A 22,002-nucleotide genomic window follows, 5' to 3' on the forward strand; every position below is an offset into this window, starting at 1 on the left:
AGATGAGGAAGAAAAGGTGGAGAAATACAGAGGTTGGCATTTAAGAAGGCATAATCTAAGTGTTGACTGCCATGTGTTCTGGATGTGAAATCTGGACTGTTTCCTCATCTGTCAGTTGAGGACATGATGCCTCTAAGGAGTCGCCATGACCCAGCAAGGGAGGCCCTTCAGGGGATGGAGATCCTAGATGTGGACTCAGAAACCAGTGTGTTTCCTGGACCCTCCTGGCAGGTAAGTTAGAACAGAAGAGGCATCTACGTGGTGCCTTGACTGACCCCAGGTATTTTGCCACTAATTCCAACATTCCTTCTCTGAGAACACAAACATACATAGGAGATGGAGGGGTTTACAATCCCATTTCATACCTATACACAGAGTCCTGGGCCACTGAATTAGTAAAAGTTCATGGTGATTAAGCCTCTGCACGGGGGTGGTCCAGTATCACCATGGAAACATCACACCCTTCTCCCAGCCCAGGAAGTGATGGAGGGTGATGGGTAGGCACGGTGTCAGGAATCAGGCTTGGACACAGGCACATGCAGCACTGGAGATGACTGATGGAGGGAGAGAGGCTCTGGAGCAAGGGAGTTTATCACCTGCTGGTGTGCCAAGGAGGACCAGATCCAACTGAGTGAATCTAGCAGCACAAATTGGGATCTGAGCTCTGCAGATTTGGGGGAGGAAGTGGCAATGCTCCCTCACAGTCCCTCCCTTTGAACAGGAGCTGGCCTTTGACTCTCAAGTCCAGCATCTAGTTATTACTGAGATGTGCTTCCCTGCAGATTCCTTCTGGGGAGGCAAGTAGGGCTGCCAGTTTCACTGGGGCCAACCCTAGAGATCAGGATATCATTTGTTTTTCAAATTTTAACATTTTATTGTGCTTTTCCCTCTATCTTTTAAAGATCATGGCCCAGTTATTGGCCAAAGCAGAGGCTCTGGCTGTCTTGGGACAAAGCTGCCAGTCAGAGCTGCTTGCTCAGTGTGGGGCATCTGGTGTGGCTGGTGGGACCCTGTGTCTCAAGGTACTGCACCCCAGTGCCCAGCACATGCTGGGGCCTCAGGAGTTGGTTGTGTCTGGGTCTAAGTTTCCCCATAGCCAGCCAGCCCTGAGACAAGATGGGTGCAGGATCCTGGGAAACCCAGGGGAAAAGACGAGTGAAGAACCTGGAAAGGAGAAAGCCTGTGAAGCTCACGCCAGAGCCCACTGTTATGGGAAGTCAGGGACCCCAAATGGAGGGACCAGCTGAAGCCATGGCAGAACGTGGATTGTGAAGATTTCATGGACATTTATTAGTTCCCCAAATTAATACTTTTATAATTTCTTATGCCTGTCTTTACTGCAATCTCTAAACATAAATTGTGAAGATTTCATGGACACTTACCACTTCCCCAATCAACACCCTTGTGATTTCCTATGCCTGTCTTTACTTTAATCTCTTAATCCTGTCATCTCATAAACCGAGGAGGACGTATGTCGCCTCAGGACCGTGTCATAATTTCGTTAACTGCACAAATTGTAGAGCATGTGTGTTTGAACAATATGAAATCTGGGCACCTTGAAAAAAGAACAGGATAACAGCAATGTTTAGGGAACAAGAGAGATAACCTTAAACTCTGACCACTGGTGAGCCAGGCAGAACAGAGCCATATTTCTTTTCTTTCAAAAGCAAATGGGAGAAATATCGCTGAATTCTTTTTCTCAGTAAGGAACATCCCTGGGAAAGAGAATACGCACCTGGGGGGTAGGTCTATAGAAGGCCCCCCTGGGCGTGGCTGTCTTCTATGGTCGAGGCTGTAGGGGTGAAATAGACTCCAGTCTCCCACAGCGCTCCCAGGCTTATTAGGAAGAGGAAATTCCTGCCTAATAAATTTTGGTCAGACCGGTTGCTCTCAAAACCCTGTCTCCTGATAAGATGTTATCAATGACAATGGTGCCCGAAACCTCATTAGCAATTTTAATTTTGCCTCCATCCTGTGGTCCTGTGATCTCGCCCTGCCTCCATTTGCCTTCTGATATTCTATTTACCTTGTGAAGCACGTGATCTCTGTGACCCACACCTATTCGCACACTCCCTCCCCTTTTGAAACTCCCTAATAAAAACTTGCTGGTTTTACGGCTTGTGGGGCATCACGGAACCTACTGACATGTGGTGTCTCCCCTGGATGCCCAGCTTTAAAATTTTTCTTTTGTACTCTGTCCCTTTATTTCTCAAGCCAGCCGACACTTAGGAAAAATAGAAAAGAACCTACATGACTATCGGGGCAGGTTCCCTGATAGCCCACTCCTGCTGGGGCCTCTGAGAAGCCTGCCAAGAGCCTCGGGGTGTTCCCTCCAGAAGACAAGAGCCTGGGGAGACCCCTACGCTGAGAGGAGGGCTGCCCCTCAAGGCAGAAAGCAGCACTGCAACAGCTGTGGGTGGATGGACTTTGGGGGTCCAGGCTGAGCCTCTAGTGTCTGCACGTGGGATGGGAGGCCGGTGTTTGTTGAGACTTGGACAAGTCTTGCAGTGTGGCAAGAGACGATGGCCAGTGTGCAGCAGAGAGCCATGCGGGGGTCAGCTCTCCTCCTACTGAGCCCTCTTCACCTCTCCCAGCCCCTACTGGTGCACTCCCATTTTTGCCTAAGCTGTATGAGTTTGGTTTCCGGAACTTGCACCCAAACTGTCCTTACTGAAGTACAAATGACATTATAAACCCGAAGCCCTGGAGACAAATGTGACCTCCCTTCGCTCTTGCTCTAGAAGCAAGGCCGGGTGGGCTGGGATCCCACCCTCAGAGAACTTAGGTTGTGAAATGCTCCAAGGGGTGCTTTTCTTGAAATTACTGACAACACCTAGTACCTGATGGCCAGTTCCAGATGCTAACAAGATGAAGTCGACCAACTGCTCCTTTTTACCAAACAACTTTTATTTGCATGTGGCTACTTAGTAAATAGTAATCAGTGATCATCCTAGACAGCTGCCAGGCAACAAAAGGAGAGACACATAGAAGCTTTTCAAGGTATCAGGTTGCAAAAAAAAAAAAAAAAAAAAAAGTATCAGAGTGATCAGAAAGTGAGCAGTGAGCAGTAGTGAAGCCAGAATTTTCTTTCCCATGACTCCTGTAGTTCTGTCCCTGTCCCCGCAAACCCCAGGAGGGGAAAAATGTAGATACAAAACTGTAAGGCCTCAAACCAGTTAGGACAAGTCCCTTTCTCGTAATAATTTATTTCATTCCCAATGACAGAAGGCACGTGCAGTTACAGGGCTGTGCCCTATTCGTCTGGGTCAACAGAAGAGCACAGCTTTCTTTAGAAAAACATTTACTTTAAAACCAAGCACCTTGATTTGATATTTTAGTGTGCACAACTTTGCCCGTTGAGGTCCTGGTGAGCCCTTGCCCAACCCCGTGGGCACCACCATTCCGCCAGGCCTCGGAGGGCCACCGGGTGCTTAAGAGAATGTGAGGGGGGTGAGTGCAGGTGGCGCAGCGCGGTTCCTGGGACATGGGTCCTTCACTCCTCGCTGAGATGTTGCGGCAGCCTTTTCTTCCAATGCGGTTGTGGCAGGAGAATCCACGGATGTAATGTTTTCACCTTTTTCCCTGAGGGTGCTTTCTGAGGAACCAGTCCTTAAGAGGTGGGGTCTTGGATTCCTGACCCAGGCGTCCGGCAGCTGCTCAGTTTCCGAGATGTCAGACTCATGGAGGAGCAGGCTATGCCCTTCCCTCCCCATTCCCCACCCCTCAAGCCCCAGGTCTTACTGTATAATGATTTATTTTCCCCACACGTCTACCCTCAAAATTGGCTTCATGCAAATTTCCCTTGAATCCTAATGCTGGAGAGGAAAGGGGAGGGGAAGTGGGAGGGTGGTGGGCAGGGTGGCTTGACCCTGTCAGCCTCCCAGGGAACTCGGGACCACGGCTCCCCAGCACAGGCTGAACAAGTACCAGGAACAAGGTCTATGCATCTGCGTTAGATCTGAAGGCCTTGGCAGCACCTCTTCAATTTTAAGAGAATCAGGCCGGGCGCGGTGGCTCACGCCTGTAATCCCAGCACTTTGGGAGGCCGAGGCGGGCGGATCACGAGGTCAGGAGATCGAGACCATCCTGGCTAATACGGTGAAACCCCATCTCTACTAAAAATACAACTAAATTAGCCGGGCACGGTGGTGGGCGCCTGTAGTCCCGGCTACTCGGGAGGCTGAGGCAGGAGAATGGCGGGAACCCGGGAGGCGGAGCCTGCAGTGAGTGGAGATCGCGTCACTGCACTCCAGCCTTGGAGGAAGAGCGAGACTCCGTCTCAAAAAAAACAAAATAAAACAAACAAAAAAAAGATCAGACTGAGTATTCCCCTAGACCTACTCTAGGGAAGCCCATAGCTGAGGCAAAATCCCCAAACAGACTTGGCATTAGTGGGGCTAGGATTCTCCATTAGTGGAGTGAGGGCTTTGATGTGAGTTGTCTAGAAGAGCAAGTTCATGGTCAGATAATTCCAAGAGACAGTTGTTTTCCCAGGAAAAAGAAAAGCTTCCTCCTATTCAGCAGAGTGAATTTAAATGTCCAAACAAAGTGTGGTGTCATCGCTCAGTCTGCAAGGACGTTCTGTTAATCCCGTGGACGTTTTAGTGGATCTTCCGTTTGTCATCCAGATGGCAAACGTTGGAAGCTGCTTTTGGGGACCAATAATTGGAGCTTTCAAAGAGCATTTCCCCCTTGGCCTGGCGCCTGTGCATCAGTGGTAATAGATGCTGAAGGCATGGAGAATGTAGAGCAGCGTGGCGATGAAGGCGAAGAACTGGAAGGAGGTGGAGAGTGACTGTTAGAGACAGCAGCGCCAGCTCCTGCCCACCCCTCAGGTACCCTCAGCCCCACTGCCCAGGAGGCCACGCATGACCCTGCCTCCTCGCCTCCTGCGTGGCCTGAGGGCAGCAACCCCTGGCCAACAACTCCCTCTTCTGGAAACTCTCCATCAGGGCCTCCCTGGGGCCGTCCTGGTGTCCTGCCCCGACTGCAGTCTCCACCTCATCTGCACCTGGCTGTGAAGCAGGCTCACCTCCACCACAGCTCTGGGCCCATATCCCACGCTGACCTCCTGCCCGAGGCCCGCTCTCCTCTGCCCACCTCCAGCAAATCTGTGTTCTGAACACTCCTACAGCTCCCCTCGCTGGCCCAGAACTCTGCCCTGAGCGGCTGCTTATCAGCTCCTCGTGAATGTTCAGACATCCTCCAGCTCTTCCTGGCTCACACTGAGCCCCTGACGTTTCCTCACAAGCCTGACAAGCCCAGTGGGCCCCAGGGTCCTCCTCTCGCCCCACTCCCTGAGCCTGACCCCTGTGGCCCCTGGCTCCTCCTGCCTCCCTTGCCAGCCATATGCAAAGCCACCCCAAAGGCTACTGATTTCCCTGCCTAGCTCTTGGGACATTCATTTTTCCCTTGTCTCAGCCACCGGCATCCCTCGGCAGGACTCCTCATGGCCTCACTTGTCCACTTCTTCCTGCCCTGCCCCTCGAATCTGCTCCACCATTTGGGCAGGGCAGGCAGAAGTGGACAAGTGAGGACACTTCTCACTCATGGGGAGAACACAATCCCGTTGCCCCACGTTGAAGCTGTATGATGGCTCTGCTCTTTTCTCAGGGTAGGGCCGTCACCTTCAATACCTTTCAGGCCCTGCCAAACATCCCAGCCCCACTCTGCCCCACTGTCCACTCACACGCTCCTCATTCAGTCAGTCAGTCAACAAATATCTTTTAAGGACCTGCTTTCCTTCAAGAGCAACTGTGGGTATAACAGTGAAGAAAATATTCAAAAATTCCTGCCCTCATGGAGCTTACATTTGAGAGATAAGAAGCAGATAGCAGCAAGATAGATGAGTAGCACATACATGGGTTAGATGGAGGTAAATGCCACCCACTGTGGAGTGCACTGTGACCCTCTGGGGTGGCCACAAGATATTTCAGCTGCCTTCTGGCCTGTCTGCCTCCCTTCCCTCCTCATCAGGTGAGTTTAACTTCCTAAACTTGCAAGACCAGCAACGGCCCCTGCAATCCTCCATGGCCAGCTGTCCCAGCTACACCACCCTCCTGGCTGCCCTTGAGCACACAGAGGGTCCTTGGCAGGGGTAACTGCCTGGTGGGACCTTAGCAGGGGTAACTGCCTGGTGGCCCCTGCCTCCTTCTGTCCTCTTGACAGGGCCTTCCCTGATGCCTCCTCCCCTGAGACCTCGACATTCCACTTTCCCCTTCCCTGCTTCATCTCTCAATAGTTCAGCCATGCCGAGGGATGCGGGCCCCATTCCAAAGGCAGTGGGTGCCATTGAAGGATTTTCAGTAGGAGAGAGACATCTGTTCCAATTTGTGTTTTGGAAAAAGAAAATTCTGCAGACAGCGTGGGGGGTGTCTAAGAGAGAGGAAAGCTGGAGTGGGAACAATAGAAGGTAAAAGAGGACCCCTGAACGTGGGTGCACATGTTTACAGGGACACACATCCCTATCCCCTGCCCCCATGGCTCCTTCCACTTGAGGGCTCAGGGTCTATACAGCACAAGCAAAGTTAGGCCTCCTGCACGAAACATCCTCCAGGCAAGACTGCTGTCCTTGGCCAGCCCACTCACCGAGGCTGCCGAATTAATGTAGTAAATTCTTGGGTCCAGCAGTTTCTCAGAAACAATCGTGGCATGTACTTGTAGGACGGCAGCGCTCATGTACAGGATGCCAGTGGTCCCGTGGTACAGGCTGTCCTGGAAATGCAGAGCAGAGCCACGCATGGCCACATCAATCAGGTGAACATTTTCCTCTCTGGCTACATAGCAGTAAAGAATGAGCAAATGAGGCAGGCCAGCCCCCTAGAGTCCTGCCTTTTTTTTTTTTTTTTGCAGTGTGATTTGGTTTGGCTCTGTGTCCCTGCCCAAATCTCATCTCGAATTGTAATCCCCACATGTTGGGGGAGGGACCTGGTGGGAGATGACTGGATTATGGGGGCAGTTTCCCCATGCTGTTCTCGTGATAGTGAGGGAGTTCTCATAAGATCTGATGGTTTAAAAGTGTGACACTTCCCTCTCTCACTCCTGCTGCCATGTAAGGTGTGCCTTGCTTCCCCTTCGCCTTCCACCATGATTGTAAGATTCCTGAGACCTCCCTAGCCATGCAGAACTGTGAGCCAATTAAACCTCTTTTCCTTATAAATTACCCAGCCTCAGGTAGTTCTTTACAGCAGTGTGAGAACAGACTAATACAGAAAATTGGTACCAGGAGTCAGGCACTGCTATAAAGATACCTGAAAATGTGGAAGCAACTTTGGAACTGGATAATGGGCAAAGGTTGGAACAGTTTGGGGTACCCAGAAGAAGACAGGAAGATGTAGGAAAGTTTGGAACTTTCTAGAGACTTGTTGAATGATTCTGACCAAAATGCTGATGGTGATATGGACAATGAAATCCAGGCTGAGGTGGTCTCAGATGGAGATGAGGAACTTATTGGGAACTGGAATAAAGGTCACTCTTGCTATGCTTTAGCAAAGAGACTGGTGGCATTTTACCCCTGTCCTAGAGATCTGTGGCACTCTGAACTTAAAAGAGATGATTTGGGGTATCTGGCAGAAGAAATTTCTAAGCATTGAAGCATTCAAGATGTGACCTGACTTTTCCTGAAAGTGTACAATCATATGCATTCACAAAGAGATGGTCCAAAATTGGAACTTATGTTTAAAAGGGAAGCAGAACATAAAAGTTTGGAAAATTTGCAGCCTGATCATGTGTTAGAAAAGAAAAACATATTTTCTGGGGAGAAATTCAAGCTGTCAGCTGCAGAAATTTTCATGAGTAATGAGGGTCCCCAAGACAAAGGGGACGATATCTCCAGGGCATTTCAGAGATCTTCACAGTAGCCCCTCCCATCACAGGCTCAGAGACCTAGGAGGGAAAAATGGTTTTGTGGGCCAGGCTCAGGGCCCTGTTGCTCTGCACAGTCCTGGAACACAGCACTCTGCAACCCGGCTGCCCCAGCTCCAGCAGCTGGGGGCCAAGGTACAGCTTGGGCCATTGCTTCAGAGTGTGTAAGCCTCAAGCCTTGGCAGCTTACACATGGTGTTGGACCTACAGGCATGCAGAAGGCAAGAATTGAGGTTTAGGAACCTCTGCCATGATTTCAGAGGATGTATGGAAATGACTGGATGTACAGGCAGAGTCTGCTGCAGGGGTGGAGCCCTTATGAAGAACCTCTACTAGGGCAGTGCAGAAGGGACATGTGGGGTCAGACCCCCCACAGAGAGTCCCCACTGTGACACTGGCTAGTACAGCTGTGAGAAGAGCTGTCCTGTAGACCCCAGAATGGTAGGTTCACTGACAGTTTGCACTGGTCACCTTGAAAAAGCACAGACACTCAATGCCAGTTTGTGAAAGCAGCTGCAGGGGCTGTACTGTGAAGAGCCACAGAGGTGGAGCTGCCCAAGGTCTTGGGTGCCCACCCTTTGTAACAGGGTGACTTGAATCTGAGACATGAAGTCAAAGGAGATTTTGGAATGTCGACATTTAATGGCTGCCCAGCTGGGTTTAGGACTTGCATGGGGCCTGTAGCCCCTTTGTTTTGACCAATTTCTCCCATTTGGAATGGGAGCATTTACCCAATGCCTGTACCCTTATTGTGTCTTGGAAGTAACTAACTTGCTTTTTGATTTTACAGGCTCATAGGCAGAAGAGACTTCTCTTGTCTTAGATGAGACTTTGGACTTAAACTTTTGGGTTAATGCTGGAATAAGTTGAAACTTTGGGGGACTGTTGAGAAGGCATGATTGTATTTTTAAATGTGAGAAGGATGAGATTTGGGAGGGGCCAGTGGTATAATGATATGGTTTGGCTCTTTGTCCCCACCCAAATCTCATCTCCTATTGTAATCCACATGTATCAAGGGAGGGACCTGGTGGGAGGTGATTGGATCATGGGGGCAGTTTCCCCTATGCTGTTCTCATGATAGTGAATGAGTTCTCATGGGATCTGATGGTTTAAAAGTATGGCACTTCCCCCTCCCCCATCTCTCCTGCTGCCATGCAAGGCATGCCTTGCTTAGCCTTCACCTTCCACCATGATTGTAAGTTTCCTGAGGCCTCCCTAACCATGAGGAACTAGTCAATTCAACCTCTTTTCTTTATAATTTACCCAGTCTCTGGTTGTTTATAGCAATGTGAGAATAGACTAATACACAGTGTTTTTAATGTAATATCTATGTCGTAAGCAATGGCAGACTAATAAAGATCAGTATATTTCAGTTACGCAAAGTCAATCTTGGTCTGAAATATTAAATGAAAAATTCCAGAAATTAACAATTAAATGTGTGCCTTTCTGAGTACAATGATGAAATCTTGCACTGTCCCGCCCTGTTCCACCTGGGATGTGAATCAGACATTTGTCTAGCATGTCTACACTGTCTGTGCCACCCATGTTAGTCGCTTTGTACTCATCTGGGCTATCAGATCAACTGTTGTGGCACTGCAGTGCTTGCATTCAAAGAATCCTTATTTTACTTCATAATGGCCCCAAATTGCAAGAGTAGTGATGCTGGCAATTTGGATATGCCAAAGAGAAGTCATAGGGTGCTTTCTTTAAGTTAAAAAGTATAAGTTTTCAGCTTAATAAGGAAAGAAAAAAAATATGCTGAGGTTGTTAAGATCTACAGTAAGAATGAATTGTCTATCTGTGAAATTGTGAAGAAGAAAAAAGAAGTGCATGCATAGCAAATTCGGAGTTCAGTACTCTCTGAGGATTCAGGCATCCCCTAGGGGTCTTGGGACTTATCCTCCGGAGATGGGGGACCACTGTATACTGTCTTAGGTATGCTGAGGAATTGTTTACTTCGTATACATGTGATAATGTGAGAAAGTTTGCGGAGTTTTTTTGGAAACATACTGAAGTGTGTGGAATAGAATGGCATGATGTTTGGTGTTTGCTTTAAAATTCCTTAGTGGGGACAAAGGCTAGATGAAACAAATGTGGTAAGGTCTTGATAATGCTGGAATCTGGGTTATGGCTACATGAGGGCCTATAATACAATATTCTGTACTTTTAAATATGTCTTCAATTGTTCAGTGTGGAACAGTTTTAAATGGTTTTTTGAGATGACGTGATAAATAAAAATTAGTGATGTAATATTAAATGAAAGCATCTACATCCAAAATTATTTGTAGAGTACAATTAAAGTATATATATACATATATATACATATATACATATGTATATACGTATATATGTATATATACTTTGCATATAATTCATGTGGGATATGGAAGAAATACCCTGTCGCAGGGATTGTGTTAGGGCCTTGAGAATGGAGTGATTTTTTTCCTACTAGCTTTTTCTTCAGTGTTGCTCCAAGGATTTTACCAGGAAGAAAATTTAGGGGAAACACATCAGAATATGCTTGATCACAGGTCATTGTGTATTCTCCTAACAGGGAAGCCAGTGAAGGGGAATACCAGGAATTATTTACGCTTGCAGATAAATGTCTTCATTTTAGCGTGGTAGTAAAAATGGTAAGATAAAAAGTCTTGGTTCCATAGGAGCCTAGCCCAGGATCCCTCCCTGCCCAGAAAGGCCAATTGTCCTCACCCAACCCAGAACGTCCACCCAGGAAGAGCCATGCTGCTGGTTCTTACCAGAACTCTCCAGGATTCAAATCTTTTGTAAAATCCAAACAAGTAAGACAACAGGAACATCAAGGAGATGAGAAACGAGGTGAGCGAGACATACATCACCCATCCTTGCAGCAAGGGGTATACTATGTGGGTGGCGGCTACCATGGTCCAGACCAAGAACCCAAATATCTGGAAGATAAAAGCATAAAAGAAGGGGCTTCATTAGCTAGTGTGGAGTATGTTTCCCTTTGCAGGGTGTCTCTTTTCTGTCTCTAGTTACAAGTTCAGGTGAAGTTAGGAGGGAACCAAGAGGAAAATGGGGAAGGAAGGCTGGCCCCGCTGAGTCACGGTAAAGTCAGGTCCGATTGTTAGAAAATTCAAGGGGTTAATGCAGAGGTCATGAACAGAGGGACTCTCAGCCAAATCTAGCTTGTGAATGTGTCTTTTGGCTCAAGCAGTATTGGCATATACACTTTTTAAACAATTCTGAATAAGTTCCCAATATTCAAAACAGGATATTTCACATGGAAAATCCAGATTTGGGACATTTCTTTAGAAATCCATGGTTCTGGCCACAGTGTACCCATTTCTCAGGCCAGAGTAGGCTGAAATGAGTAGTGACTATCTCTTTAAAAAGGGCCTGGAGTCCTCAGTGGACCACATCCCCTCACCCCACTAACCTCACACCATGCTGTGGGACATTCCCTGTTGCTCACTGACACTGTGTAATTGTTTACTAATGAGATACAGCTTATTTTTATATATTTGTTAGCCATTAATATTTCCTCCTCTGTAAAGTTTTTTATTTTTTAATCAGTTAAATATTTTAAAATTGATTTTTCTTTTTCTTATTGATTCATAGGAATTCTTGCTAATGGTGTGGATTTCATGGACTGCCATAAACATTGCAAATATATTCTGCTAGCATTCACATATTTTCTGGTTTCCTTTGATTAACTAAGCCCGCAATTTTAATGCAGTTGAATATGTCAATCTTTTCCTCTATTGACTATGTTTTTTATCAAGTTTAAGAAATTCTTCTCACGCACACCAACATGGCACATGTATACATATGTAACAAACATGCACATTGTGCACATGTACCCTAAAACTTAAAGTATAATAATAATAATAATAATAATAATAATAATAATAAAGAAATGCTTCTCTATTTTGAGTCATGAAGATATTCTTGCATTCCAGATTTTCCTCCTGAGATAATTTTCCTTCTTCCTGGAGTGCAACCTTTAGTAGTCTCTTTAGTGAAGGTCAGAGGGTAGTAGTCTGTTTGATTTATTAGAAAACGTCTTTAAATTTCCCCTGACAATTATTTTCTCTCCGCACTTCCAAGATATGTTTCCACTGTGTTGTATATTTTTCCATAATATTCTGTTGTATTCTGGCTTCCATTGTTGCCATTGAAAAGTCAGCTGTCAGTTGAACTCTTGCTTTGTAGGAATCTGTCTTCCTTATTTGGCTATATTTAGTCTTCACTCTGTCTTCGGCATTCTGCAGTTTGTGAAACAGTGATACCATGTGTCGAGATGTGGATATCTTTTTATTACTCCTGCTTAGTATTCATTCTACATTTTAATATCTGAAAATTCCATTCACTTGGCCTTAATAGCTTGATTCTGCAGTTTGTGGCTTCCATTAACTTCTATTCTTGTTCACTTGTTTCCTCTTATGTTTAGTGAATTTTGATTGGAAGCTCATGTCCGTGGAGGTAGCTCAGTTCTGAATGATGTATTAGAAACTTTCTAGACCAAACAACTTCACTCACTTTTTTTTTTCTTGAGAGAGTCTCTCTCTGTCACTCAGGCTGGAGTGCAGAGGTGCAATCATGGCTCACTGCAGCCTCCAACTCCTGAGATCAAATGATCCTCCCACCTCAGCCTCCTAAGTAGCTAGGACTACAGGTACATACTACCACACCTGGCCAATTTTTATTTTATTTTTTGTAGAGACAGGGTCTTGCTGTGTTGCCCAGGTTGGTCTTAAACCCTTGGCCTCAAGCAATCCTCCTAGCTTGGCCTCCCAAAGTGCTGAGATTACAGGCAAGAGCCACTGTGCCCTGCCTTCACACCCTTCTGTATAGCTCAGCCAAAAGATATACAACTTCAGTTCTGCTTTCCGAACTATATCCTTAGCTTTCTGGGACCAGCAGTTCTTATCTTACAACTGGCCAATACATAGACATAGATATGTCACCCTTTCCCTTCTGAGGTTTCCACATGCTGTTGTCTGGCAGTTGTCTTTGGATTTATGGAATATTCACAGTCTTTTAAGGAGAAAAAAGAAAAGGGAGATGAGAAGCCAGAAGAGAACAGGAAGTTGACCACAAGGCAGAGACTCCTCAGCAAGGAGCACAATCATAGCTTTATGGGGTGGGAAAACAACTCCAGCAGCGTGGCCACCTCTTAAAGCACCAGTTCTGGTAGCAAATTCCTCCTTAACAATCAACATCCAAGTGAATTTTGGAAGTCCTAGGCTGGTCTGAGACTGCCGGAGAATGAGTCAAAGCCGGCTTGTCCTAGGGAGGGGGTGGTGAGGAACGGAAGCCGCTGTCCTCTGGCTCCCCCACAACTGTGCTGCTGAGTGTCAATCCCAGTGACAAGGGCTGCTGATGCTTCAGAAAGGTACCAGGCCTCAGCTTTAAGGCGCTTGCCAAGAAGCCATGAGAAGTGCATTAAGATGCTGGCATATGAACAGCACCCAAACAATGCTGGTTATTAGTGGTTCACCAGGTACTTTACAGTTGATAAAATGCATTCACTCAGACTGCCTCATTTAGACCACACAACAATTCTAACTCCCTTGGAAAGACCAGAGAACTACCATTCGACACCTTCCACTGCTTACTGCCAGCTCACCTGTGCCAGGCATGGGGACAGCAAGGGAACCTCAGCCCCATCTTGCCAGTCAGTGCCTGCAGTGGGGTCCCGGTGCCCCTCTTGCCATCAGAAGCTTCCCTGGCCAGACACAGCCATATGCACGTTACTTACATTTGCACATTTAATCTTTGCCACAGTCCATGAGGTAATACTGTACCGGAGGGGATTAGGGCCTGAGGTCACACAGGCAGTGCGTGGTGGGACTCAGACATGGTGTAGGACAGTTGTGGTTCTTGCCCTAAAAACCAGGTTTCAAGGCCAAGGGCAGGGCCAGGTAGAGGCTCCTAGAATATGCCAGAGGGTGGCCTGCTACAGTCCCAGCCAAGGTCTGCCTGGGGCATTAGAGGCCTTGATGGGGACATCACACCTGGAGTCTCAGGGAGCCCATCAGCGGCCTCCTCTCTCTGGGTTCCAGCTATAGCTTAGGGATCCTTGTCCTACCTTTCACAACAGGCCAGGGGCCTCTGAGCATTTGGGAATCTGCTCAAACGTCATGGGAACCTTCCTGCAATGGCTTCAGTGTTGCAGAATCAATGTTCTGCAGAAGAAAGTCACTCACTTCTTATTTCCACACCCCTCTACCTCCTAAACAGGAGGAGGGACCAGAGCCAAGGGCTGCAGGTGGATTGAAACCCAGTAGAGTTCGTGATCTCATTTCTGTCTCAAGTAGTCTAGGTTGGATTCCTTACAGTTGTGAAAACTTTGAGTATTTGTTTTTACTTTTTCTTAAAGCTCATATTTGGCTTTCCAAATTTCCTGGTGGCCTAAACTGCTTTCCCATTTTAATGTTTATTTTTGTATTTCCTCAGAGCGGGAGATATTTTTCAACGGTTGGGGCTGGCCCTCAAAGTTGAGAAATATTTGATTACAGCGAGCCATTTAGAGCAAGTAGATTTCAAGCACAACTTTGGCAGATCCTTTTCTTATAAGCAAACACACACAGTCATATACAAATTTTCCAAGAGGCTGAACTGAAACTTGAAAGGACGTCTTAAGGAAAGATGGAGCTTAACAATAGGTTTTTAAAACCTATTCTTCTCTAGAACATGAAGAGCTCCTTCATGTTTAGAAAGTGGTTAAGAACTAGAATATAATAAAATAAAATTTCCAACTAAAAAAAAATATTGTCAAATTACCATCTTATAACCTGCATTTTAAATTTAACGATGTAGTGTGAACTTTTTTTAACCAATAAATCTAATCGCGTCATCATTTAAAAAAAGAAAAAAAAAAGAACTAGACTATAAGAACTGGGGTAAAAACACCCAGATTGGTGTCCAGGAAGAAAGGGCTGATACCAGGTTTGGAGAGGGAGGTTGAGCCTGGATGTTACCACACCAGATAGTGAGAAAATTTCCAAAGGCTCCTGAGGTCCAGTCAAAAGGACTCAGCAGACTCCTGCTGCCCAAAGATGGGACCGCTTGAGCTTCTTACAGCTATGATGGATTGGAATGCATCAACTAAGGTAAAATCCATGAGTTCAAAATGATACTTAAAACAAAAACTTATTTGGTCACTTTTGGAGGATGCTTATTATTTTGAAAACTGCTTTAAAAGAAAGAGAAGCCGGCAAAAAACGTGGTGTGGGGGCAAAGAGCTTCTCAAATATACGCATACCTGAGCACTACCCTCCGGGCGGCACTCCAAGTCCTGCTACTCCTAGAAGCCTTTGGGGACTTCAAGAAAGCCCCAGGGTCTGGGGTCCTGCCCCAGAGAGTCTGCTTGAACAGGTAAGGGAGGCTGCGTTGTTCCCCAGGTGGGGTGGCCAGGGCTGAGAAAGCTTGAGGCCAGCTCTCTGCTTCTACTCTCACCTCCAGTCCATGCACCATGCAGCGCCTTTCCTCCTGGGTTTGAATCCCAGCTCTGCCTGGTGGGTAGGTCATTTAGCTTGTCTGTGCCTCTGTGTGCCTATCTATCAAATAGAAGAGGTGGGGGTCTCACTGGCCCCTCTATCATCTGGCCCTTGTGAGGGTTTGGTGAGTCTGCTGGCACATGGTGAATGTTGGCTGTAGTAGCCATAACCATTTGGAACGGCACAGAGGGCAGGAAGGGACATTCCATGAGAAAGATACAGAGGAGGGAATGTCCAAGAGAGGCCTCTCTAAAGGATGGGAAATTCACTTTTGGAAAGGAGAGATGGGAGATCAATCAGCTGGGTGGGTGAGATAACATTTAGAGGGCACAGACTCTTCTTATGAGTTGATGATGGCTTTGGTCACCAAGAAAAATGTACCTACACACACACACACACACACACACACACACACAATTTTTGCCTACGAATCTGGGGACTCACAGACCCCCAGTGTCCGTCTGCAACCTCCCAGTTGAAGTCCATTGCCACCTCCAGGTTAAATAACTGTGCCATCAACGACTCTATTATTTTGGCAATATTGATCAAAACATTAAATGCCCATACTGTTCAACTCAGTAATTTCACTTGATGGAATTTGTCCTACAAATGATGCATGTGAGCAAAATGACAAATATAAAAGTTGTTTATTGCAGCCTGTTGATTACAGAAAAGCTAGGAAATGACCCCTTTATCCAGAGGGGACCAGTTAAATCAATTATGTCTGCAAAGTGAAACACTCTGCAATCTTCAAAAACAAAACAAAACAAAAAAAAAAAAAGAGAGAGAAAATTCTATATCCCAAAATGGAACAAACTCCAAGAATTTGTAAAGGCACAGACCAGTGTACCCAGTGTGCTAGGATTTGTGCAGAAAAATAAGAAAATGCATGTGCGAGTGTCTGTGTATATGTGCATTTGTTGTGGGTGAACAGAATACTTCCAGAATGAGACCCAATCAGCCAGTCAGTGCCTTGGTCTCGGGGAAGCAGAACCTCTTGGCTTGGAGACAGTTTTGAATGTAGGACCCTGTTCACGTTTAAACTAACCCCAAACAAATAATATGTAAATTTAAAAAGAAAAGAAAGTCGCGTGGGCACTGGAGTCTCACGGAGAATTCTGAATGGGAAGAGATAAGGAGGATGGCCTTTGGGTAGAGTGGATCTGCTCACCTGCACAGAGCAGCTGGAAGCCCCTCATGGGTGGGAGAGGGGCTGCTGCAGGGGCCGGGATCACACACTGAGGTTCTGAGACAGACGCTGCCTGAGTAATGATGCCCTGGGAACCGTGAAGGATATGTCAAAAAGATGCATGGTCTCAGGTCTGTGTGGCCAGGGCTCTGGGCTGTGGCTGGGAGGTGTGGGTTTGGGGTGGGGCAGACAAGGAGCTGAGAAGGAGGGAGGAGTGCCAGGGGTGGGTACCCTGTGGCAGGTTTTTCTGCATAGCTGGGCATTGCTTCAGCATGGCAGGTTTCACGTACTGCCAACCCCAAATTCCTTTTCTTACTGCGTCTCTTAATTTTTATGACAGCTTTGCCTCTCCTTCTCTTCCCTGGCACTCAGGTGACCACAGGCTTCATAAAGCCTAAAAAACTTCAGGCTGAGAGAAAAAGACCCCAGTCAAGATGGGTGCGGCTCTTGTCATCAGCACACAGGTGAGCCGGGGTCTCCTGGTCCCACCACGGGCCAGGCAGGAATGGGCTCTGCAAAGGACACATGCGGGCGTTGCCCACGGCGGGAACCTGGATGTCCTGAAGGCTCCCTCTGCCATTGTGATATTTCAGGATGAAGGAAAGGATTGTCCCTCGCATTCACGTATGCAGAGTGCATGCTGTTTAAGTCCAGGCTCTCTTGCCTACTAGATACCTCTCTCTCTTTTTAAAAATTGTGGTTAAATACATATAACAAAATCCACCATCTTAACCATTTTTAAGTGTACAGTTCAGTGGCATTCATGTTCATTCACACTGTTGTGCACCCATCACCACCATCCATCTCCAGAGTGCTTTCCATCTTGCAGATCTGAAACTCTGTACCCATTAAACAACAACTCCCCACTCTTCCCTCCCCGCAGTCCCTGGCAACCACCATTCTACTTTCCGTCTACTCTGGGTACCTGATATGAATGGAATCATGCCGTATTTGTCCTTTTGTGACTGCCCTTCTCGCTTAGCATAATGTCCTCAAAGTTCATCTGTGTTGTAGCATGTGTCAGAATTTCCTTCTTTTTCAAGGCTGAATAATATTCCATTGCATATGTGTGTCACAGTTGGTTTATCCACTCATTTGCTTATACGCATTTGGGTTACTTCCACCTTTTGGCTATTGTGAATAATGCTGCTATGACCACGAGTGTCCAAATAGCTCTTTGATGCACACTCCTGAAAAGGAAAAAACAGCTGGGTGCAGTGGCTCACACCTGTAATCCCAGCACTTTGGGAGGCCAAGGTGGGGATCACTCGAGCCCAAGTGTTCAAAAGCAGCCTGGGCAACATGGCAAAACCCTGTCTCTAAAAAAATACAAACATTAGCCAGACACGGTGGCACATGCCTGTAGTCTCAGCTACTCGGGGGGCTGAGATGGGAGGATCACTTGAGCCCGGGAGGCAGACAGCCTTGATTGTGCCACTGCACTTCAGCATGGGTGACAGAGAAAGACCCTGTCTCAAAAAAAAAAATGAAAAACAAGACAAGGCCTACCCTAGGGCTGTGCTTCAGACCCCATCAGGCAGTTGCCATGCAAAATGCCTCAAGAGTCACAGCTCTGTCAAACAGTTGTGCGCATGTTCCTGCCACCATAGCATCCCTTGGGAGTTTGGTTCTGTTCATGCAAAATGAGTGGGAGTTTGGTTCTGAACATGGAGCGCTAAGGGGATCTCGAAAAGGACACCTTACAGCACGAGAACTCAAACAGGAAGGCAGAGCGTCACCTTGCTTGACCTCAGCTGGGAATGTGTGTGCGTGCCTGGCAACTCAAGTTTTTAGCTGCTCTGAGCATGTCAATGACTGTGAAAGTGCCAAGTGTATTAATTTGGGGGTTACAAATACATCTTAGCAAGTAGGTGGATTTGCAAATACAGAATCCAGGAGTTATGAGGGTCCACTGTGTTTTCAGTGTCAAAATTATCTTCCATCAAGTTGATAAAACCTCATTTACTCAATTAGGCCCTAGTCAGGGTATGTAGAGTGTTCTAGCTTTTTCCTGTTACAAATGATGCTGCAGCGAATACCTTGTTGCAGAGAGAGTTCTCTCATTACAAACTGTTTCTGTGGAGTGAGCTCCCCACCTGGGATCTCACCAGTAAGGGGATGTCACTGCCCATGCCATTAGGCTCATCACGTTCCCTACTAGGGATACATACTTGACTTAGTCCTGGTCAACGAGACAGAGGGAAAGTCTACCTGGTGCCTGAGAAGGGGGCACAGGGCACAATGGTCCCTTTCTTGCTCTGGCCATTACTGTGCAGTGGTGAACCTGGAGCTATGAAATGGAGGAGGAGAAAGAGGAAAGGAGCCTGCATCCCAGATGACACGACCGAGCTGCTGACCCAGATCGCAGGACACGAGATAGTGCATTTCCCTTCTGTTAAGGCCAGTCCCAGCCAGCGACAGCCCTTTCACAGCACTGCTGAGGAGCCCCTGGGATTCAAGTCTGTGCGGGTCGCCCATACCCCTCACCCTCTCTTCAAACACTCCACTGCCTCACCTGACTCCCAGGCCAAACTCAGGACACCCACCCTCACCTTTATGCTGGGCTCCCCAAGCCTCCACCACTTCCCCCAGTCCTGGGACTGGCAAACTATGAGTGAGACTCATTCATGGATTGTGACTCCATTTAGTGGATTATCAACCAGCATTAAGAACTGAAGCCAACAGGGCATAATGGCTCACACCTGTAATCCCAGCACTTTGGGAAGCTGAGGTGGGAGGATTGCTTGAGGCTAGGCATTTGAGGCCAGCCTAGGCAACAAAATGAGATACTGTCTCTAGAAAACGTTTCAAAAAATTAAGTGATCACACCTGTAGTCCTAGCTACTTGGAAGGCTGAGTGCGGGGAGGATCCTTTGGGCTCGGGAGTTCGAGGCTGCAGTGAACTATACTTGTACCACTGTACTCCAGCCTGGGTGACAGAGCAAGACTCTGTCCCCCACCCTAAAAAAAAAAAACTTAAGCAGACTAGGATGTAAAGTTTAGGAGCGTTTTGTGTACAGGAAAGGGAAATACTGTTTCCTGGATCTTTTGTTTCACTTACACACACACCCACACCCGCCTGTAGTGTACCAGGTTGCGATGGAAATCTCTCCCTTTTTGTGGATGAGTTTGTGGAAGCCCTTGCTCCAGCGTGCCTTCCTTCCTGCCCACCCCTGGACCATTCCTCCCCTTCACAGCACTGTCCCATGGGTAGGCCACAGCCCAGCACAGGCCCCAGCCTGGCGGCTGCAGCAGGAGCCCCATCCCAGGGCCTGAGGGGCCATGCGGGGGTCTGGGTGGGAGTGGGAGCCGCTGAGGAAGGTGAAGGGAAATGTGGTGAGATGACAGGCCCGCTGTCAGGGAGAGTGGGAGGAGCCCTGGAGTGCCCTACCTCTGTGGGGCTGGAACTCCCTGTATCCGAGCTAGGGTCTTCCACACGCATGCTCCTACCCCAAGTGCCACAGCTGGAGGTCAGGGACCCAGCCAGGCTGTGCTGGGTGCTCCTGGGCAGGGCTCACCTGACTGCAAGTCTCCCTGTGGGTGGCTCAGAGACCCAGGGTCCACCTGGGTGCTGCTTATAGCCCATGAGGCAGCTCCCACCCCCGTGTCACTGGCCCTGCAGCCTCATGAAGCCTGAGCAGCCATCCTTATCTCCTTTGTGCTTCGAATACAGGAGGATGCTGGCTTTAAAAGGCAGAGGGGCATCCTCAGTTACCCAGTAGGGGTGTGGCAGGTCTGTCTCCAGCACCCCAAGAGCACCCTGAAAACAAGTAGCATTGCATGAAAGTTCCACACTCTGCAGTTCAACCTAGCACACTTCCAAACCCTGAGTCACTGCGTCCTGACTCATGGAGGGAGAATTTTCTTTTTCTGTGGCTTTAAGGCTAGCAGGAAATTGCCAGCCCAGGCCCCTAAGGCCTCCAGTGAGGGCCAGGTCTCATCTCCCGCTGGATAACAGTGTTGGCAGGAACTTCCATCCAGCACTGGTGGGAACTCGCGTCCGCAGCTGCTCCTGGCTGAGCAAGTCAGGCGTCCTTGGTACTCATAAGCACTCACTGAATGGGGCTGGCAGTGCGCCCGGCCTCCCTGGGATGGGCGCACCAGAGTGGCAGGAAGTGCAGTCTGGGAGGGGCCCTGAGTCAGGGCCAGGCATCCCCATTCCTGCTTCCTCCTCCCCCAGCACCACGTCCGCCCATTCAGACTGATTGCCTTCACTTTTTACTGACCAAACAGCACAGATTTGCAATGTCACATAAAATTGACTAATGAGAACATTCTTTTCCATCCAAAGTCTAAAGCCCTTTTCCTTCTTGTCTCTTAAAAAAAAAGGAAGAGGACAAAATTAAACACAGCATTTGGGGGGCATATTTTCCCTTTTGACTACCTGTGTACCTTAGAAAAGCACAGAAATGCTGTAAAGCAGCAAGGGGAAGGCATCCTGCTCCCACCGCGGCCCGGTGGCTGGGCTTCCCCACTCTCCCTGGCCCCCTGCCCCAGTGTCCTCTTTCTCACTCTCCCTGTACATTGATTAACTTCATGTTCCTGCCCATGTTCCCCAAAAGAAGTTGCCTGATGATCCCTGGACTCAGGCTCAGGGGAAGTCCCCATACCCTCCTTTCTCCTCAGGAGCCCACAGACATTTTGTGACTAATAACCTGCCCTTCATTAGGCACCGGGTCACTTAGTTCTGGTTGATGGATTGCCTGCTTGGCTCTCCCCAGCTGATCCCCAGTCTATCTATGACTAGACCCTGAAAGGCAGGGACCAGACCATGTCACCTCCTCCAGGAAGCCACCCTTGACTACCAAGTCCCCCAGCATACCTCCCCTAGGATCACTCTCCACTGTCATTGTCTCTCTTTTCTCTTCCCTGCCTCCTGTTGAAACTCTGAGCTCCTGGAGGCAGGACTGTGTGCCCTGAGGTCTCTGTCCCTGGAGTACAGCATGGAGCCTGGCATAAAGCAAGTGCTTGGTACATGTCACTGACTCACTTGAGAAAGGAGGAGGGGGTTGCTGGACACACCACTCACTAGCTGCTCACAGCCTCAGATTCCTGGGACAGACGCCCATGGAAGTGGCATCGCCTGCCGCCTTCTGGGCCTTCCACTGTGGCCTAGCCACAGACCGGCATTCCTGCCAGGAGCCTGAACCAAATGGAGACAGACGTGTATTTGTTTCATCCTCACCTATTTCCTGCTCCATCACCTCCCAGGCCCCAGAAATTCTCACAGTAGGGTAGGGAGCAACTGTCCCTCAGGATTCCCTGGGAAGGCTTTTCCCACCACCCTGCCTCCTCCCTGACCCCATCGGCACCCCTTGTCATCCTGAGATGCCCCACCACCCTGGTACATAGGACAGACTACTAAAAAATGTGCTGTCAGAAAGGACAGTGCTCAAATAAATACACATCCCCCTCCATACCTCCCCCAACATCACTGGGGCAGAAAGAGTCCAGATGGGCAGTGTTGGA

At 48.0% G+C, this 22,002-nt stretch overlaps 1 protein-coding gene and 1 non-coding gene across 4 annotated transcripts in view, besides 1 other annotated feature; both read right to left on the reverse strand.

Annotated features, from left to right (window-relative positions):
* Window positions 582-1,082: an enhancer, noted in NCBI's record as "H3K27ac hESC enhancer chr2:110839142-110839642 (GRCh37/hg19 assembly coordinates)". NCBI's record gives its function as "activates a minimal SCP1, AML or CMV promoter by ChIP-STARR-seq in naive H9 embryonic stem cells {active_cell/tissue: H9 hESC(naive)}" and the evidence as "EXISTENCE:reporter gene assay evidence [ECO:0000049][PMID:30033119]".
* MALL (mal, T cell differentiation protein like) overlaps window positions 2,887-22,002 on the reverse strand; it is a 34,270-nt gene continuing 15,154 nt past the window's right edge. For 2 of the 3 annotated variants that reach the window (NM_001371559.1, NM_005434.5), the window contains exons 2-4: window positions 10,620-10,787; window positions 6,589-6,714; window positions 2,887-4,774 (exon numbers count right to left, since the gene is read on the reverse strand). In NM_001371559.1, the coding sequence (NP_001358488.1) occupies window positions 4,712-4,774; window positions 6,589-6,714; window positions 10,620-10,787 (357 nt within the window). In that variant the 3' untranslated portion in view covers window positions 2,887-4,711. The remainder of the gene's footprint in view (window positions 4,775-6,588; window positions 6,715-10,619; window positions 10,788-22,002) is intronic. The other variant, NM_001371560.1, reaches the window with a different exon arrangement.
* MIR4436B1 (microRNA 4436b-1) lies at window positions 5,450-5,540 on the reverse strand. The gene has a single exon (NR_039941.1). It is a non-coding gene; the product is annotated as a microRNA 4436b-1 (primary transcript).

Source organism: Homo sapiens, chromosome 2 (assembly GCF_000001405.40).
Source record: "Homo sapiens chromosome 2, GRCh38.p14 Primary Assembly".
Classification (NCBI taxonomy): Eukaryota; Metazoa; Chordata; class Mammalia; order Primates; family Hominidae; genus Homo; species Homo sapiens.